Below are 16,052 nucleotides of genomic sequence, written 5' to 3'. Positions count from 1 at the left end.
GCACAGGGGATTCCAGCTAGGGACAGTGTTCATCTTCTGGAACCTAGCTCAGTCTTAGACAAACAAGGTAGAGGCCTGGGCTTCAGTTTAATTCACGCCAAATTTCAGCGCGGGCATTCTTTGGAGTCACACACAACAAAAGCGGATGAGAAAAGGCACACAGCCTTCCCCGTGGTGTTACGGTGAGCACGCCAGGCATTTTAATCCGCATTCTCATCTCAGCCTCACGACTGCCCCGTCACATAGATAACAGTATTCCTGCCCACCCTGCTCCCCGCATCTCCCTACTCCACCCCACATGCGTGTGACAGATGAGGGGACTGAGGTGGAACAAGTTTCAGCAGGAAGGCAGATCCAGGGCTAGAGTTCGAGTCTCCCATCTCCTCAATTAAGACTCTCGTTTCCAGGCCTCTTCAGCCCACCCAGCTTCTGCTCCTGTGGCCCTGTGCCAACGGGGCAGGATTTGGGAGCTAGGCCCTCAGCTCAGTGGGTGTATCTGGCTGCCGGCAGGGGTGAGACACCTGGAAGGCCTCCAAGACCAGCAGCCTCTTGTTGATGGAGCTGATGGTAGGGTAGGGGGTGAGATCCACCTTGAATCTGTAGTAGAGAAACACCTGCTAAGCTAAGGTTTTCAGGGACACAGGGAGACTGCCCTGATGCAGCAGGGGGAGCAGAGAGGCAGGGCTGGATGAGGTCGAGGGAGCTGTCCAGGGAAGGACGATGGGGCAGCCCTTATTCACAGGGGATGGGTAGGTCTTGTGCAGTATCATTTGGCATCTGTTACCTACTGTTCCTATTTCTTTGTGAACCTGCTATGTGTAAGGCCCAGTGCTAGGCATTTATATATACAGACTCTCTTCCCCCATGTTGTAAGCTTCTTGGGGGCAGGGAATGTGCCATACGTTTCCATATCCCTAACGCCTAGCATGATGCCTTCCAGAGAGGTGCTCATTTGTGCCCTACCAAAGGGTTCACGGAAGGATGCAGAGGTAGAGCTCACTACTGCTCACAGACACACCACATTTGAGGACATCAGGCAGGTGCTCTTGGGGGTCCACCAGGTGAGCCACCTCCTCTTAGGAGCTGGGGCTATCTATACAGGTTCATCTGGGCTGTGGTGGGCGTAGTAGGAGCACTGCCCCAATTTCTTCTGCCCTCTTCCAGGCAGAAGTGGCTATGTGGCCTGGCATGGTGGGCTCCTTGGCTGGTTGGCGAAGCGTCTGCATGAGATGCTATCTCGCCAGCTGAGTGGGGCCTGACTGTGGGCAGAGCCACGAGAAGGGAGGGTGGCGGGGCTCTCTCTTACCTTTCAGCATTTGCCACCTGAGGCACCAAGCACAGATCAGCCATGGTCACCTGAAAGAGGTCCCGGTGGGTTCCCATCAGGGTGCATACCCCAGAGTCAGTGGCTGGACTGGGTGTGTCCACTGCGACTCTACTGGGGGTACCAACAATCTGCTTCGGCTCTTTCACCCATCCCACCTCCAATTCTTGTCTGCCCTAGGCCTGCATGAGTCTGTCCCCCGGAGCTGAAGTGCCCTCCCAGGCCATGCTCCAGTTGCCCTGACAACCAACTCTGTGGGTTGAGAGGGCCAGAGAAGATGGATTGCCTTGACTGCGCAGACATCATCTAGCACAATCCCTCAACTGATGCTGGCCCGCCTCATCCTCTCACAGCCAGTCTTCTACCTTGAGTAACTCCCTCTTAAGACGGTTTAGTGGGAGTGAGCTGAGGAGTGCCCCATGGCACAGAGATCCCCCTGCAGACGCCTTCTCAGGAAGCTCTGAGCTTGAGGGAGGTCAGCATGAGGGAGGCAGCCACTGTGGCTGGGCCTGGGGAGGTCTGGGGACAGCTTACCTCGTCTCCTACACAGTATATGCCCGCTGTGCTCTGTAGGATCTGCTCCAGGGCTGTGGGGAGGCCACATAAACATCTTATTCTGGGCGCAGGGAGGGGACACAAAGCTTTCTGGGCCTTGGCCTCCATAGTTATGAAATGGGCGCCCAACTGAGTGACAGACTGGGCATGGCTGCTGGTGAGAATGTGGCAGCCAGGTCTCGAGAGAGCTGTTAGGGATGAGCTGCTGTTTCCTGAGGCTCCGCACAGACAATCACCATTTCCCCACTCGAGTGGACAAGCCCTGCCACTGGCCACGGTGACAGCTCTCACTCTGATGGCTGGCGCTGTGCTGGCCTTGGTTTCCCAGCTGGAGTAGGCAGTGAAGCTGAAGTTGGGCCATCCAGCTATGAAGGGCTGTGGGCTCAGGGACCGAGGTTCCCAGAAGTGCTGGAGCTAAGGTCTGGATGCCCACCCAGCCCATTGCCTCCCCAGTCCTGCCCTCATCCATGCAACTGTCAGGCCCAAAGCAGCCTGGGAGGCTGGTTCAGATACCCAGGCCCCTGTGTGCGAGGGCCATACCTCTAAGAGGCCACTGTGGGGCAGCTCACAGAGGTGAGGACTCACCGTTAAAGCCACAAGTGATGGCGTTCTGGGCCCAGGTCAGCTGCATCTCCTCTCCCACTTGCTTCAGGACAGACAGGTTCTGTGCAGCCCAAAGAAAATCTGTGATTGCGCTGACAGCTGGGTGGGGGCTACCCCTTCGCCAAACCCCCTCAGGGAAGTTCACTTCCCATCTGCCCCTGGCTGGATGTCTATCCCTTCTCCCCCAGGCTCCATGAGCCCCTTCCTTCAACCAAGGGCCCTGAGGTTGGAGGGAGGTAGCCATCCCAGCAGCCACCTTTGCAGGCTGCCCCAGTGGCCTCAAAAAGCCACGTGATTCTGTCAGAGATGTGCAAGAATCCCTATTCATGTGACACAGGACGCGGCCATGGCTGTGGCAGGTGTGCCCACAACTCGAGGCCTGTCTCCCTCACTTCTCCCTTGCATGGTCCCTTGTGAGGAGAGGGAGTGTGAAAGAGGGTGGGGCTGGGATGAGGGAGGTCCACAAGACCGGCTTCCAGAGATTTCCAGCCTGGCTCCATCTTGGCACCCCTGGAGCCATTTTCCCTCTGTTTCCTCATTATAAAATGGAGATGTCTGTCTGCTCCAACATCCTTTGTTAAAGCGACATGCGGGTAGAGGGCATAGGCATGCAGGGATTCTGACTTAGTCCCCACTTTGTTATGACCTACCTGTGGGACTCCTAAGTCACTCCACCTTTCTGGGGCTATTTCCTCATTCAGAGTAGAAGCTGGCACAGATGAACTGTTTTTAATACTTAGTTGTCTGTTTTAACAGTGACACTTAAAAAATAAAATCCTACAAGTATCCCAGTATATGACTGAGATAGCACAGATGAAACGGAAGCTGCTCTGGTTAAAGGCAGGAGGCCTGGACTGGGGCCTGCTCAGTCTCTCCCCTGCCATTCTGGCCCTTTCCCCACCCCAAGCACCTGTACATGCGTCCTTGGAAACTAGAGCTTCTCGGAACGCAGCGGGGGACCCGCTGGGGGGCTGAATTCTGAGATTGCGATCTTCACCCCCTTCTTTCACATGGTCCAGGTCAGAGGCCCTGAGAATCCCCCTCCCTCCCTTGACACCCCCGCCCCCACACTGGGCAGCTCACAGCCAATGTGTGAGTGTAAGAGTGTGTCAGGTGTGCAAGGGTGCAAGTGTACAAGTGCCACACCTGCAGGGGCTGGATGCCACCAGCGATGAGGTCAGAAATCATACGCACGCTGGCCCTCTTCTTTGGGTCCTGAGGCAGAAGTCGCGGAGTGGGACGCATCTCCTCTAGATACTCAATGATGGCCAGCTGTCCAGAGGGGAGCAGTGAGGCAGGGAGAGGGCCCAGGACCCCTGGACCAGAGGGGACAGGGCCAGCAAACTCCTCCTTCTCCTCTTCCAGCACCATCACTACACCTCTTCCCCCCTGCTTCTGCTCAGCTCAAGCCCTATAAGCCTTTTTGGACCTTATCATGCAGAACTTGGTTCTCCATGTGCTTGAATCTTCCCTTATTTTCCTAAATAACCTCGCACCCTCCCCACGAGTCTTGTATTGAGCCTCTCCTATGTGCTAGGCACCTTGACTGTACACAGGCGAGGAAGAGATGTCAGGCGCTCTCATTCAGGGCACTGCTCTCATGAGGGCCCTCCCCCAGGCCCTGCACTCACTGACTGGTGAATGGTGATTCCATCAATCTTCAGGGTTGGCACCTGCTTCATAGGATTCAGTGCCTGGAAGTCCTTAGAAAACTGTGGAGACAAGGCCCTGGTGGGCTGGGTGGCCTGGCCTGAGTTGGCCAGAGGAAAGCCAAGCAAGCAGGAGAACCCCAGGCCTGCCACCCACCCCCATCTCCCTTCCCTGGGAAGGCCCTAAATCCTAGGCCCAGGGTAATCCCTGGGGGATCCATGCAGTCTCCCAAAGCCCAGCTGCTGCTGAGCCATAGGCTTCATCCTAACAGCCTGGCTATGGGCTTTCCCTGCATCTCACACCGTGGCCACCAAGGCAGCTCCTACCCTAGTCAGCCATCCAGAGGGCCCAGTATGGGGTGGGGACCCACTAGCCACCCACCCTCCCAGGGTCAGGCACTGGAGAGCCCAGGCTAGGGTACACAGTCTGGACCTGGGCCCTTCCCAGGCCTCCTGCTACTGCACACCTTGCCACCTTGTCCCACAAGGGAGAGCCAGCAGCCTCCTGCAGTGATAGTCCACAAGACACAGGTTCACTTCTCTGGGGCAGAGCCTCCCCTTTTTCCCCTGCCTGGTGCCTGTTCAAGGCCTCCAATTCCCACATTGTGGTCTGGGCACAGCCTTCTTACCTGTTGGCCCCCATCCTTTATGAGATTGATGGGCACCGTCTCGTAGTCGATGCCTTTCAAGGCCAGAGCTAGGAGAGACCGCACATAGCGGAGTCAAAGAACAGCCTCTCGCCGTACTCTTAAAGGAAAGAGCCCTTCTAAGGTGACATTAAGGCCAAAGAGGGGGAGGCTTCTCTAACACTTCTGGGTGGTCAAGGCTCACCGTGGCACTATCCCCTTCTCTCAGCTTTCCTTGTCACCACGTGCTCCCTACCCCAGATGCACGATGCTCTGCCTCACTCACCCCTGAACTCTTAGAGACCTCAAGATCTGGACCCCCCCAATGGGGCCCTCATGCCCCCTGGATGGTGATAAAGGTGTATGCCCTGGCACTCTGTGGGCTCCTGGAGTTCAGCAAGGCTGTGTTGTGTTTAACTCTGCCCCCCCAGGGCCTTAAACAGTGGTGACCAGTGTCTTGGTTGAAGACATGCAATTACTCCCTCAAGAAGGCAACTAAGGGCCAAGGGAAGGAGCTCAGGTGGCCACACACAGCACACACAGACAGATGGCACTCTTGTTCTGTTGGAGAAGAATCTCTTCCAATCTATTCTCTCTGTTCTCAGGGCTGTTTACTAGAGATTCTAGACAGGCATCAGGCTCTTTGGTGGCCTCAGAGCATTTGCCGTGACTCCAGTCACCAGATTTCCTCTCCATCCCTTTTGATAATTTCCCCTGGCAAGCTGAGGGTAAAAAAAACTTGGGTGGGTCAACACTAGTGGAGAAGACTGCGTGCGTGTGCATGCATGTGTGTATTACACACACTTGGGCATTCAAGTATGGTGATGGCCAATCTCAGGGAAGGGCAAAGGAATGAGGGGAGGAGGACCAGACATGTCATGGTGTGGAGAGCCTGGGCAATACCAGGCTCCTCCTAGTGTTGGTCAGCTCCAGTCTGGGGAGTGACAGTGTTTGGGGCTGGAGGAGACACCTGGAGGAGGGAAGGCCAAAGCACACAGGCCGTACAGACAGCACCTATATTGCTCCGGCTTCTGGCTCAGCCAGGGCAGAGGTACTGGCGCCCAGGGATGGGTTCATCTTCTTGGAGGAAAGTTTCTCCTGGCACCCAGTGCTCTTGCTTACTGATCCCAGCAAATACCAAGTGACTATGGGATGGAGGAGGGGTCACGGAGGATGGCTTTGCCTCCACACTCTGGAGGCAAGCTTCTTGGGTTCAAATTTCATCACAGTCATTTGCTAACTGTGTGGCCCTGGGCAAGTAACTTAATGGGCCTCTGGAGCCAGACTACCTGGTTCAAATTCCAGTTCTGCCTCTTAGTAACTGAAAGATCTTGGGCAAGTTACTGAATGTTGCCTGTTTTTTGTGCCTCAGCTTCCTCCTCTATACAATGGGGACAGTAATAATAGTACCTCCCTCCTAGGGTTGCTGAGGTTTAAATGGAATCAGGCACACAAAAGCACTCAGCACAGAGCTTTTCCTCAGTACAGGCTGCTTTGGTTATGACCTTTGCCAAAGGCTGTGTTAAGCCAAGGGAGGGAAGGGTCAAACAAGGACTAGCCACAGGGCCCTTGTTTCTGCTTTTCTGAAGCCTCCGAGGCTGATGCTGGCCCGTTCTGTTTGCTTTGCCAGTTCAAATAAAATAAGAACTGAGAAGGGCCAGCTGTTCCCCTGCCAGTTACCAGGGGCATGTGGATTTTGTGACCCTGCTTTAAACATGGTTGCCAAGGGGCTTTGGAGAGCAGTGTTGGGAGAAGTGTCAGTCCCAAGGGAAAAAACAACCCCCTTCCTCCCACCCTCACCCTGTGTTTCCGGGGTGGAGATGCCATGCAGGGATGGGGGTTCTAGGAGCCGGGGGATGCTGGTTGCTGGGGGTGAGGTCCTCTCTGACAGAGCAACCCTTCCATCCCAGGCCAGCTTTGCACCCGGGCTTATCCGCCCCAGTCCACCCCACTCCAGCACTCATCCTGGAGGAGGCACATCTCTTACCAATTCGAACTCTCCATGAGCAGGAGCTTCGGAAATAGGAATAGAGGATGGGCTGAGGAGAGAGAGGATGAAGGCGCGTGTTAACCCATGCTGGGTGGGCTCCAGCTTGGGAGGAGTCAACCATTTCTTCCTGTCCTGCCAGGCCTCCTCTCTCAGGCCTGCATCTGTGCAAATCAGGGCAGACTCCAAGCTCTCTGAGAGGCTCATGAGGTCCCTTGGCTCCAAAATTATGCTGGTTTGAGCTCCTGAGGTCCAAGAGGCCCCCAAAGGGGCAGCTAGCCTGAGAGTGCCTTCCATACCTTGCCAGACTCTGTCATGGTATCGTGGTGACCCTCAGCCTCCCAGGAAATGTCCCCTCTGGCACAGCTTCTGAGCAGGGAAAGGAAACCTAAAGGGGTGGATTTCAGGAGCCAATGGGGAAGCTGGGCTACCCAGGCATTGGGGGAACTTTGACTCTGGTCAGAAAGGGCATTTCTGGCCAGGCACAGTGGCTCACGCCTGTAATCCCAGCACTTCGGGAGCCAAGGTGGGTGGATCATTTGAGGTGAGGAGTTTGAGACCAGCCTGGCCAACATGGTGAAACCCTGTCTCTACTGAAAATACAAAAAAAAATCAGCCAGGTGTGGTAGTGGGTGCCTGTAATCTCAGCTACTCAGGAGGTTGAGGTAAGAGAATAGCTTGAACCTGAGAGGTGGAGGTCACAGTGGGCCGAGATCGCACCACTGCACTCCAGAGCGAGACTGCGTCTCAAAAAAAAAAAAAAAAAAAAGGCATTTTTTTCCAACTCGCAGGAAGTTTCTTACGCTCCTGCTGGGGCCAGGTTTGGTGTCCCCCCAACAGAGCGTGGCCTGGTTTTGATGCAGTATTTTGAGTGGTGGAGCGGGCTGGGAGCTGGCATCTGGAGTCTGGACCTGGTGCAGGAACCAGCTCTGCATGACCTTGGACAAACCTCTGCCTTTTTAAATCTTCGGCTCCCTCATTTGTAAAACAAAGGTTGCCCTAAAATGATGGCAGGGCATCCTCTAGCAATGCAGCAAGACAAGGAATTCTAATTTTTTGACGCTTTGGTACATATCTCCTTCAACCCCACCTCCCAGCAGTCCTCCGGGCTCTCGGCTGTCCCCATAAAAACAGCTGGCAGATATGCTCACTCACCCCAAAGGTGAGGTCAAAAGCTGGCAGCTCACTGGGGCCCTATCTGGCCCTCAGAATTTCTGTTTGCTCAACACAGTAGTTTAAAATGTTTCAAGTAGTTGCCAATGTTTAAAAATCAGGACATTTCATTCTAGTATGGTGGGTCATGCCTGTAATCCCAGCACTTTGGGAGGCTGAGGCCAGCAGATCACCTGAGGTCAGGAGTTCGAGACCAGCCTGGCCAACATGGCGAAACAACATGGCTAAACAAAAATTAGCCAGGTGTGGTGGTGTGCATCTGTAATCACACCTACTTGGGAGGCTGAGGTATGAGAATTGCTTGAACCCAGGAGGCGGAGGATACAGTGAGCCAAGATCGTGTCACTGCCCTCCAGCCTGGGGGACAGAGCAAGACTCCATCTCAAAATAAATAAATAATAAAATAAAATAAAAATAAAAATCATGATATTTTATATACAACACCTGTTTGTTTTTTTTCTTTAAAAAAATCTGGAGACAGATTTGGGTTCCTAAATAGCAGCAATTGATGGGAACAGACTAATGGCCCCCATCAACCAGCGTATGCGCTCTCAGGTCTGCCATGGCCCATATCTGGCCCACTTTTCTCATTTTTGTTACCTTTGGGCCCTTGGGGGCAGCTGGGTGTGCGATCTCTACTCCAAGGTTTAAGGGGCTCAAAGTTAATTTCTCTGGTACTTCTTCGGGAGCCAGCATTTCAAAGTGGAACCCAGGAAAGACTCGCCAGTGATTAGCACTCATGAATCTTCCCACCAAAACATGTGTATCCCTATGGATAGGGGAGAACTTGAAAGAACTTCTCAGATGCCCTGTTTACTACCCCTCTGACTATAGACATTTCACCAAAGCTCCCTCTCCCCTCTGCCACCCCTAGCATATTAAGCTGCTCTCTGAACTTGCTATTGCCATCCCTGTACTACCAACTCAGTCTGCTAGATGGCAAGGGTGTAAGTGGGAACCTAGGCCCTTCCAAGATGGTTCCCAAGCCCAGCAGTCCCAGCCTGTCCTGAAGGTACCTTTTGTGGAGAAAGTAAAGATGGTCCTGGCACAGAAAGCAGGTGATGGGCAGAAAGTGTCTTTCGAAGAGGAGGAATTGGGTGGCCACAACTGGATCTTCCTTATTTGGAGATGCAACTCCCTTTCCTTACCTAGCCAGGCTACAGGGACTCCTGGTGCCAAGGGACAGGGACTGCTGGTGACCACTAGAGTGTGGCAGACATTAATTAGCTTAGAATCCCTGAAGAAATGCCTTACCTAATGGCTAAATGCCTTTGGATTACACCTTTGGATCTGTACTACGAGTGACCAGAAGCATGGTAAATGCTGCTGCCCTCCGTCACGACCCACAAGCAGGAAACCTGAAATCTCTTAGGCAATTTCTGCCTTCTCTTACCAGTGATAACTATGTAAACCATGCCCCGTTCCTTTCTGCACTTGTAGAACTAAACTTTAAGCCCAAGTATCCATCTCATCAGCACTCCTAGAAGACCTGTGTTTCCAATTCAAATATGCATTCTGATTACTTTAGCAGATTTTATTTTTAAACCATGTCTTACACATGATTTGAGAAAAAGACTCCTAAAATCCCATTTGGAAGAGGGAGGACTATACATTATTAACGTGACGCAAAGTCCCATCTAACGTGCCACCTTCCTTAGTGCCACAAAAGTGGTTCTCAAACTTCATGGCACGTTAAGAACCATCTAGACCGCTTATAAAAACATGCAGATTCTCGAGCCCGTTCCACCAGAGATGAACAGAGTGGCTCTGGAGCAGGCCCCGGGAAGAACATGTGAAAGCCGTGAAGCTCCCCAGGTGATTGTCATGACTGCCTCTCCTCGCTCGGGGCCTTTTTTTTTTTTTTTTGAGCCGGAGTCCCGCTCTTTCGCCCAGGCTGGAGTGCAGTGGCGCGATCTCGGCTCACTGCAAGCTCCGCCTCCTGGGTTCACGCTATTCTCCTGCCTCAGCCTCCCGAGTAGCTGGGACTACAGGCGCCCGCTACCACGCCTGGCTAATTTTTTTGTATTTTAATAGAGACAGGGTTTCATCGTGTTAGCCAGGATGGTCTCTATCTCCTGACCTTGTGATCCGCCCGCCTCGGCCTCCCAAAGTGCTGGGATTACAGGCGTGAGCCACCGCGCCCGGCCCGGGGACTCTTAAAATACAAACATTACTGGAAGGTCACCTCCTGCTAGGGCCAAGAGAAGAGCATGAAGGGCTGCGAGAAATTGGGAGGCTTGGGGCGACGTTTGGAAGCCTTAGTGGAGGGAGGGGTCTGTTATGGGGAGCAGGGAGGGCGGAGCAGAAGTGAAGCGCGACCGGACAGCGACTCCACCCTGCTACGCACTCCCTACCAGGACCGCCTCCTCTGGCCCAACCCTCCCGGAACTTCGAGCCCCAGCGGGCAGCGCGCAGCACGCAGGCGCAGAGCGTGCCCGGCGCAAAGCACTGCATGCCGGGAGTCGTTGTCGGCCTGGGCGGGCGGTGCAGCTCACTTCTGACCCCGCCCCCCAGGGTCTCCAGGTGTCTAACCAGCTTCCCTCCACCCGGGTGCGCGTCACAGACCTTCCCCGCCTGCATCTGGCACTTCGCGCGACCCCCTCCTCCAGGCCGAGAAACTTCGCGCCTGGGACCTGCCGACGACTAAGGCTCAGTGAGACTCGACGAATCAGGCCCGTGTCTTTCGTCCGGGTAAAGCGAGGGGCTGGACTAGAAAGATCCTTCCGGTCGCCTCTGGCTCGCCCAGCTCTCCCGCCACGCCCCGTACCTGGGGGCTGCTGGGAGTTGCAGTTCCCTGAGCCCGACCCCTCCTGCCCAGTCCCCCCCGCCCCGGGCCGGCCGGCCCTCCCGGTCCCGACATGCTCTGCGCCTCCTGCCGCCTCCTAGCGGCCCGGGCCGCGACCACGCTGCCCGCCCCGCCCCGAGCCCGGGGCCCCGCGCTCCGCTGCAGTGAAGGGCGTTGCATTTCCCGGGGTACCCCGAGCTGCCCTCTTGTGACTCCTTGGCGGGGCGGCTGGTCAGACAAAGTGTGCCTCCGGGCCGGAGGGCGACCCAGAGGAGGGGGAAGATGCCGCCGGCCACGGGCGGAGGCCTGGCAGAGTCCGAGCTGCGTCCCCGGAGGGGCCGCTGTGGCCCCCAGGCTGCTAGGGCCGCAGGCCGGGACGTGGCCGCTGAGGCTGTGGCGCGAAGCCCCAAACGGCCTGCTTGGGGCTCACGGCGCTTCGAGGCGGTCGGCTGGTGGGCCCTGCTGGCCTTGGTGACGCTGCTGTCCTTCGCCACCCGCTTCCACCGCTTGGACGAGCCGCCGCACATCTGGTGAGTGATGGGAGGGACTCGGCGGGCACCATGGCAACCGCGACGGGACGCCGCCCTCTGATTGGCCCGAGGGTACGGAGGGGGCGGGATCTATAGGAGGAGGGCCACGGTGGAGGGGAACTTGAGGTATCGGGTGGGTTGGCCTCTGGCGAGGTGCATTCTCTGGGAGGGGGATCGTTTTGCTCTGGTGGTGGGGCAGTGGGATTCTTAGTATCTGAGGAAGCAGCCCTCATGTCTTCCAGGTTATGCTACAGTGCATCACCTGGCTTGCAAATTGTGGCTTTTAAAGGTGCTTTCAACTTTCCAAAGAGAATTGCAAATTTTTGGGTACAGAATTTTCTAAGGCCTGAGTTCCTATGTCTGCAGGATTTTCAGGCATCAACAGAGGAGAAAATACCTAACTGTGTACCTTTATCCTATAGGGCAAGGACAGTTTGGGTGTTCAGGTATGGTGACCAAAGGATTTTATGAGGCAGAACTCTTCTTGTGAGAAGAGATTTATTTTCTTAAAGGTTTTAGCTTGTACTATCCAGATACTGGGTGTCAGAAATGGAATTCTTTAAGCAAAAAGCAGGCAAGAAAACAGACTGTCAGGGTTGCTTTATTTAGAAATTAATAAATTAGCTTGTTATTGTGTCGTGACTGCTGGCAGAAGATGAGACTCCTGGGTTAGAGACAAAGGACTTTATTACAGGAAATAGGATGCATGTTAGAAGCAGTTTCCCTTGCCATCCAAGTCCCACAGGGTGACGCTATGGGTTTAAATGGATGACTGCACAGGCAGTGGGTTGCATCCAAGTGAAGGAACGACAAGCTTGGAAAATCTGCTGTTTTATAGAAGGCAGTACGCAGACCTCCTCTTTGTCCTGGAGGGAGACACTGCCTCTTCTCTCAAAGTTGCTTGCTGCAAACACAACCATGAGAAATGGCCCAGGTGAGATGCAGTCAGGGCCTTGCATTCTTGGTATACCCAGAATGATGTGTAGAGGCACGAGCAATCTGACAGCCTCTCTCACTCCTCGATTCTATGGTCTTGGCTTCTAGCAGATTTTCACATGAATATACAACTCCCCTGGCTACTCACATCTTTTCAGTTTGTCCCTTACAGCATTTAATTAAGGTTGTTGTCAATGGGACTCTAAGCAGCAGAATAAGGCCAGCTTACAGTATTTACCTCAACCATGCCCTCCAGGGTCCTGGATTCAGCCACTTGTGAATAAGTCCTGGGGGCACCGAGGAATCTTATTTCAGACATCTGGGCTGCAGTCTAAGACCAGTCTATTAACCACTGTGACCTGTGCACAGGGGTTCAGATTGATCTCTGATCTTTGGTGTCATTACCAGTAATTACAATAGCCCACTACCCTTGTAAAAATTTTTTTAAGAAAGTAATTACCAGGCTGGGCGCAGTGGCTCACACCTGTAATCCCGGCAGTTTGGGAGGCCGAGGCGGGCAGATCACCTGAGGTCAGGAGTTCGAGACCAACCTGGCCAACATGGTGAAACTCCGTCTCAACTGAAAATACAAGACTTAGCCGGGCATGATGGCGGGTGCCTGTAATCCCAGCTACTCGGGAGGCTGAGGTGGGAGAATCACTTGAACCTGGGAAGCAGAGGTTGCAGTGAGCTAAGATCGCACCATTGCATTCCAGCCTAGGCGACAAAGCCAGACTCTGTCTCAAAAAAAAAAAAAAAAAATTAACTACCATGATTAATGGAAAGATATTTTGTGACCCATTCTTCCTTACACTAACATATTACTTGGAGGAGTGCAGGCCACTCCAGGATTTTTGTTAGATTTTTATTTGGATCACCATCAAATTTGATTACCATTACAGTGGTTTAAACCACATGGGCAGTGTCACTGAACAGTTGCAGCCTCAATCACTAGACAAGGCATAACCTAAGTAAGGCCCTTAGGATCTCAGGAGAAGCATGTGATTTGTATCAGCCGCATTGATAGAAGGTGGTGCTGATCTGTGTGTTTGCACACCTATGAGGGAGGTCTGCGTTTGGGAGTTGGTGTTGATGTCATCAGGCACGTGGGAATAGTTCAAGACTGGCCGTGTCCATGTGAGTTTTTGTTTTCTTTTTTTATTTTCTTTTTTATACTGACCTGCTAGATAAAGTTTTTATGTTTTCATAGTGAGATGACAAACTCAGCCACAGGTCAGATTGCCAGCCACAGTTGCTGCTTGACCTAGATGGACCATGTGAATGTTTGCCAGGCTTTGGTGCTGGATAGGGACAAAGAGAACATTGTTTCCCTTCTCTTTACATCTCCAGGGTCCTGTGGTGTTCCTTCCCCAGATGCCAGGATTGTTTCTTTCCTTCCATTGCTACATAATGAGTGTGTCCTACCCTAGTAACTATAACTTCACCTTTTCTCCATTTATCCCCTACCAATACGCAGGCCTTCTAATATCCAATTGTTAGAAAATTGACAGAGGCCCATTATGTCTTCTACCTTGACACATGTGGGCCACTGTAGGGGGACTTTAAAAGCACTATACCCAACCAAATGATCATTAACTTTATGTTCTGGCACCAGGCCATTCCAACAAGACAATCTAGTGACTGAACTAGAATTAAGTCTGAATTACATAGATAGCCTCCTCCTCCCAGCTGATCTGGGCTTTCTGTAAGGGGGAAGAAAGATGAATCATGGCCAGAAATGGTCAGGGGAGAATCTCACATTTTCAAAATAGGTTTATATAACCCTCCACCCCTTTTTCCTGATCATTACCCAGTTGGTAGGCAAAAGGAGATGACCCATTTCTGAGAATGGCTGCCTTAGGTGACCAAACTGCTTCAGTAAGGTTTGCAGACCAGGAGGAGGTTAAAAACATAGAATCAAAAATCTTTTTGAGTTGATCTTTGAGGGAACTGTTCAGTACTTGACAATGTCATGCCTGTGGATGGTAGGGAGTGTGGGAGGTCCATCGAATACCTTGGCTATTGACTGTTGACACTGTTGGGTGGCCATTGCGACAAAAAGATATGCCAGTGTCAGACTGTAGATGGTTTGGAAAGCAGAAAACCTGGCAGTTTAGTTTCAAGGGCCACAGTGGTATACACAGAGTCAGATAATTGGACTGGAAAAGCAACATCAGCACTGTAAACTGAAAAAGTATCAGCAGTAGCAAGGTACTGATGAGAGCCTAGAGAAGGGAACAAAGTCCTAATGTCAATCTCCCAGGAGCAGGTGTGGTCAGTGCCCCTTGCAATGTGGCTTCCTTTACTGCAAGACAAGCAGGCCAACTTTTGGCAGGAGTCACAAGTCTGGCACGCAGTGGTGGCTTCTGCCTCAGAAACATGTAGTCCCTTACGTTGTGCCTAGCCCATGATGGTAGATGTTTCCACACCGGTTGCATGAATCCAGGTGGCTATGGCAGCAGTCTTGGTGGTGCAGGCTGGATCAGCAGTTTGATTCCAGTCAGTCTTACGAGAGTACCTGCCCTTAGTGTGGGCACCTACGTGAGTGATCCAGTCTGTCCTATTGGCAGGCAGCCATGATGTGTTTCCACACTTCTCAGCTTTCATCTCTCAGTATTTAGTCTTCCAAGTGGCATACCAAATGCTTCAATCCTTACTGCCATCAGCCATCCAGAGTTATCATTGGGGCTAAGTGCCTGCTGCTGCTTGGTGGGCAACATCAGCTTTTAACTCAGCCTAATCATTGGTGAGCCAGGCCTAAGCATTTACAGGAACCCCTGTGAATCAAGGGCCCTACTGAACAGCAGCTCGGCTTCAGGTAGCAGAGAAGGTTGTTTCTCCCAGAGTGGGAGCTGCCACTTCTTCACGTAAAACCAAGATGCCTCTAGGGCCAGGCTAGCTATACTCTTTTTTTTTTTTTTTTTTTTTTTTAGAGATGAGATCTGACTCTGTTGCCCAGTCTGGAGTGGAGTGGTACAATCATAGCTCACTGCATCCTCAAACTCCTGGGCTCCTCCTGTCTCAGCCTCCTGAGTAGCTGGCACTACAGGCACGTGCCACCATGTCCAGCTAATTAAAACAGATTTTTTAAGAGCTGAGTTCTCACTATCCTGCCAAGGCTGGTCTTGAACTCCTGACCTCAAGCCATCCTCCTGCCTCAGCCTCCTGAATAGCTGGGATTACCAGCTGTACTCTTGAATGTACTATTTCCATAGGATCAGTGAGGCTTGTTAAACCCTTCCCTTGTTATCAGTAGATTCCCATTGACCCACCCCAAAGTGGGAATACTAGGCCAGGGAGTCCTGAGGCCTTTATGGGTCTGGCAATCAATTTCAAAGTGTTGAGTAGTTAACTAAGGAGTTAATAGCTGTCCTTTTAAAAAGGGTGTGCTTGGTACCTATGTCCAGCAGGTGGCACTGTGATTCTGGTGCATGGCTCTCAGTACTCCAGCAGCCACAAAGTTGTTTTTTGTTTGTTTGTTTTTGTTTTTTGAGATTCTCGCTCTGTCGCCCAGGCTGGAGTGCAGTGGCGCAATTTCAGCTCACTGCAACCTCTGCCTCCTGGCTTCAAGCAATTCTCTGCCTTAGCCTCCCGAGTAGCTGGGATTACAGGCGCCCCTATCACGCCTGGCTACCTTTTTGTATTTTTAGTAGAGACAGGGTTTCACCATGTTGGCCAGGCTGGTCTCAAACTCCTGACCTCAGGTGATCCGCCCGCCTCGGCCTCCCAAAGGGTTGGGATTACAGGCATGAGCCACTGCACCCAGCCGCCACGAAGTTTTTAAGCCTGTGATTTATTTCCTTTCCCTTCCAGGGATGTAGATTTTTTTCTTCTGGACCACCAGGAGAGGACAGGATCACCTGTCTACACACAGCAGCCCTTGC

At 52.8% G+C, this 16,052-nt stretch overlaps 2 protein-coding genes across 16 annotated transcripts in view, besides 7 other annotated features; one reads left to right on the top strand and one right to left on the bottom strand.

Annotated features, from left to right (window-relative positions):
• Window positions 1-68: 68 nt before the first annotated feature.
• On the bottom strand, window positions 69-10,630 carry GSTZ1 (glutathione S-transferase zeta 1). Of its 7 annotated transcripts, none has more exons than NM_001312660.2 (10): window positions 10,483-10,630; window positions 8,934-9,119; window positions 6,745-6,796; window positions 4,761-4,828; window positions 4,114-4,194; window positions 3,629-3,754; window positions 2,465-2,543; window positions 1,859-1,911; window positions 1,307-1,356; window positions 69-597 (listed from the first exon to the last, which is right to left on the bottom strand). In NM_001312660.2, the coding sequence occupies exons 5-10, from the start codon at window positions 4,162-4,164 to the stop codon at window positions 471-473; spliced, it is 486 nt and encodes a 161-aa protein (NP_001299589.1). In that variant the 5' UTR covers window positions 4,165-4,194; window positions 4,761-4,828; window positions 6,745-6,796; window positions 8,934-9,119; window positions 10,483-10,630; the 3' UTR covers window positions 69-470. The 7 variants fall into 7 exon arrangements, with proteins under 7 accessions (NP_001299589.1, XP_024305319.1, NP_665877.1 ...); XM_024449551.2 differs by lacking the exon at window positions 10,483-10,630 and adding an exon at window positions 10,103-10,399; NM_145870.3 differs by lacking the exon at window positions 8,934-9,119.
• Window positions 865-2,064: an enhancer, noted in NCBI's record as "CDK7 strongly-dependent group 2 enhancer chr14:77795945-77797144 (GRCh37/hg19 assembly coordinates)". NCBI's record gives its function as "activates an origin of replication core promoter dependent on BRD2, BRD4, P300/CBP, MED14 and CDK7 cofactors, with strong dependence on CDK7, by STARR-seq in HCT116 cells {active_cell/tissue: HCT116}" and the evidence as "EXISTENCE:reporter gene assay evidence [ECO:0000049][PMID:35650434]".
• Window positions 9,548-10,409: an enhancer, noted in NCBI's record as "H3K27ac hESC enhancer chr14:77787600-77788461 (GRCh37/hg19 assembly coordinates)". NCBI's record gives its function as "activates a minimal SCP1, AML or CMV promoter by ChIP-STARR-seq in naive H9 embryonic stem cells {active_cell/tissue: H9 hESC(naive)}" and the evidence as "EXISTENCE:reporter gene assay evidence [ECO:0000049][PMID:30033119]".
• Window positions 9,548-10,556: a biological region, named in NCBI's record as "H3K27ac hESC enhancer GRCh37_chr14:77787600-77788461".
• Window positions 9,967-10,016: an enhancer, noted in NCBI's record as "active region_8799". NCBI's record gives its function as "activates an Ori minimal core promoter by ATAC-STARR-seq in GM12878 lymphoblastoid cells {active_cell/tissue: GM12878}" and the evidence as "EXISTENCE:reporter gene assay evidence [ECO:0000049][PMID:35858748]".
• Window positions 10,287-10,556: an enhancer, noted in NCBI's record as "active region_8798". NCBI's record gives its function as "activates an Ori minimal core promoter by ATAC-STARR-seq in GM12878 lymphoblastoid cells {active_cell/tissue: GM12878}" and the evidence as "EXISTENCE:reporter gene assay evidence [ECO:0000049][PMID:35858748]".
• Window positions 10,637-11,016: a silencer, noted in NCBI's record as "silent region_5970". NCBI's record gives its function as "represses an Ori minimal core promoter by ATAC-STARR-seq in GM12878 lymphoblastoid cells {active_cell/tissue: GM12878}" and the evidence as "EXISTENCE:reporter gene assay evidence [ECO:0000049][PMID:35858748]".
• Window positions 10,783-16,052, top strand: part of POMT2 (protein O-mannosyltransferase 2) — a 45,928-nt gene continuing 40,658 nt past the window's right edge. For all 9 annotated transcript variants that reach the window (XM_047431314.1, XM_047431318.1, XM_011536677.4 and 6 more), the window contains exon 1: window positions 10,783-11,232. Coding sequence is in view for 8 of the 9 variants with exons in the window: in XM_047431318.1 (XP_047287274.1) it covers window positions 10,985-11,232 (248 nt within the window). In the remaining variant the exon portion in view is untranslated. The remainder of the gene's footprint in view (window positions 11,233-16,052) is intronic.
• Window positions 11,247-11,296: a silencer, noted in NCBI's record as "silent region_5969". NCBI's record gives its function as "represses an Ori minimal core promoter by ATAC-STARR-seq in GM12878 lymphoblastoid cells {active_cell/tissue: GM12878}" and the evidence as "EXISTENCE:reporter gene assay evidence [ECO:0000049][PMID:35858748]".

Source organism: Homo sapiens, chromosome 14 (genome assembly GCF_000001405.40).
Source record: "Homo sapiens chromosome 14, GRCh38.p14 Primary Assembly".
NCBI lineage: Eukaryota > Metazoa > Chordata > Mammalia > Primates > Hominidae > Homo > Homo sapiens.
The sequence above is the reverse complement of the archived record's forward strand: the minus strand, read 5'-3'. Positions and strand labels throughout refer to the sequence as shown.

What these genes read in the sequence shown, in the direction of transcription:
- GSTZ1 (NM_001363703.2), bottom strand. An exon ending in GAATCACCATTCACCAGTCA is followed by an intron (nt 3,755 to 4,113) that starts GTGAGTGCAGGG and finishes CCCTCTGGACAG; the next exon opens with CTGGCCATCATTGAGTATCT. An exon ending in CAGGTGGCAAATGCTGAAAG is followed by an intron (nt 598 to 1,306) that starts GTAAGAGAGAGC and finishes TCTCTACTACAG; the next exon opens with ATTCAAGGTGGATCTCACCC.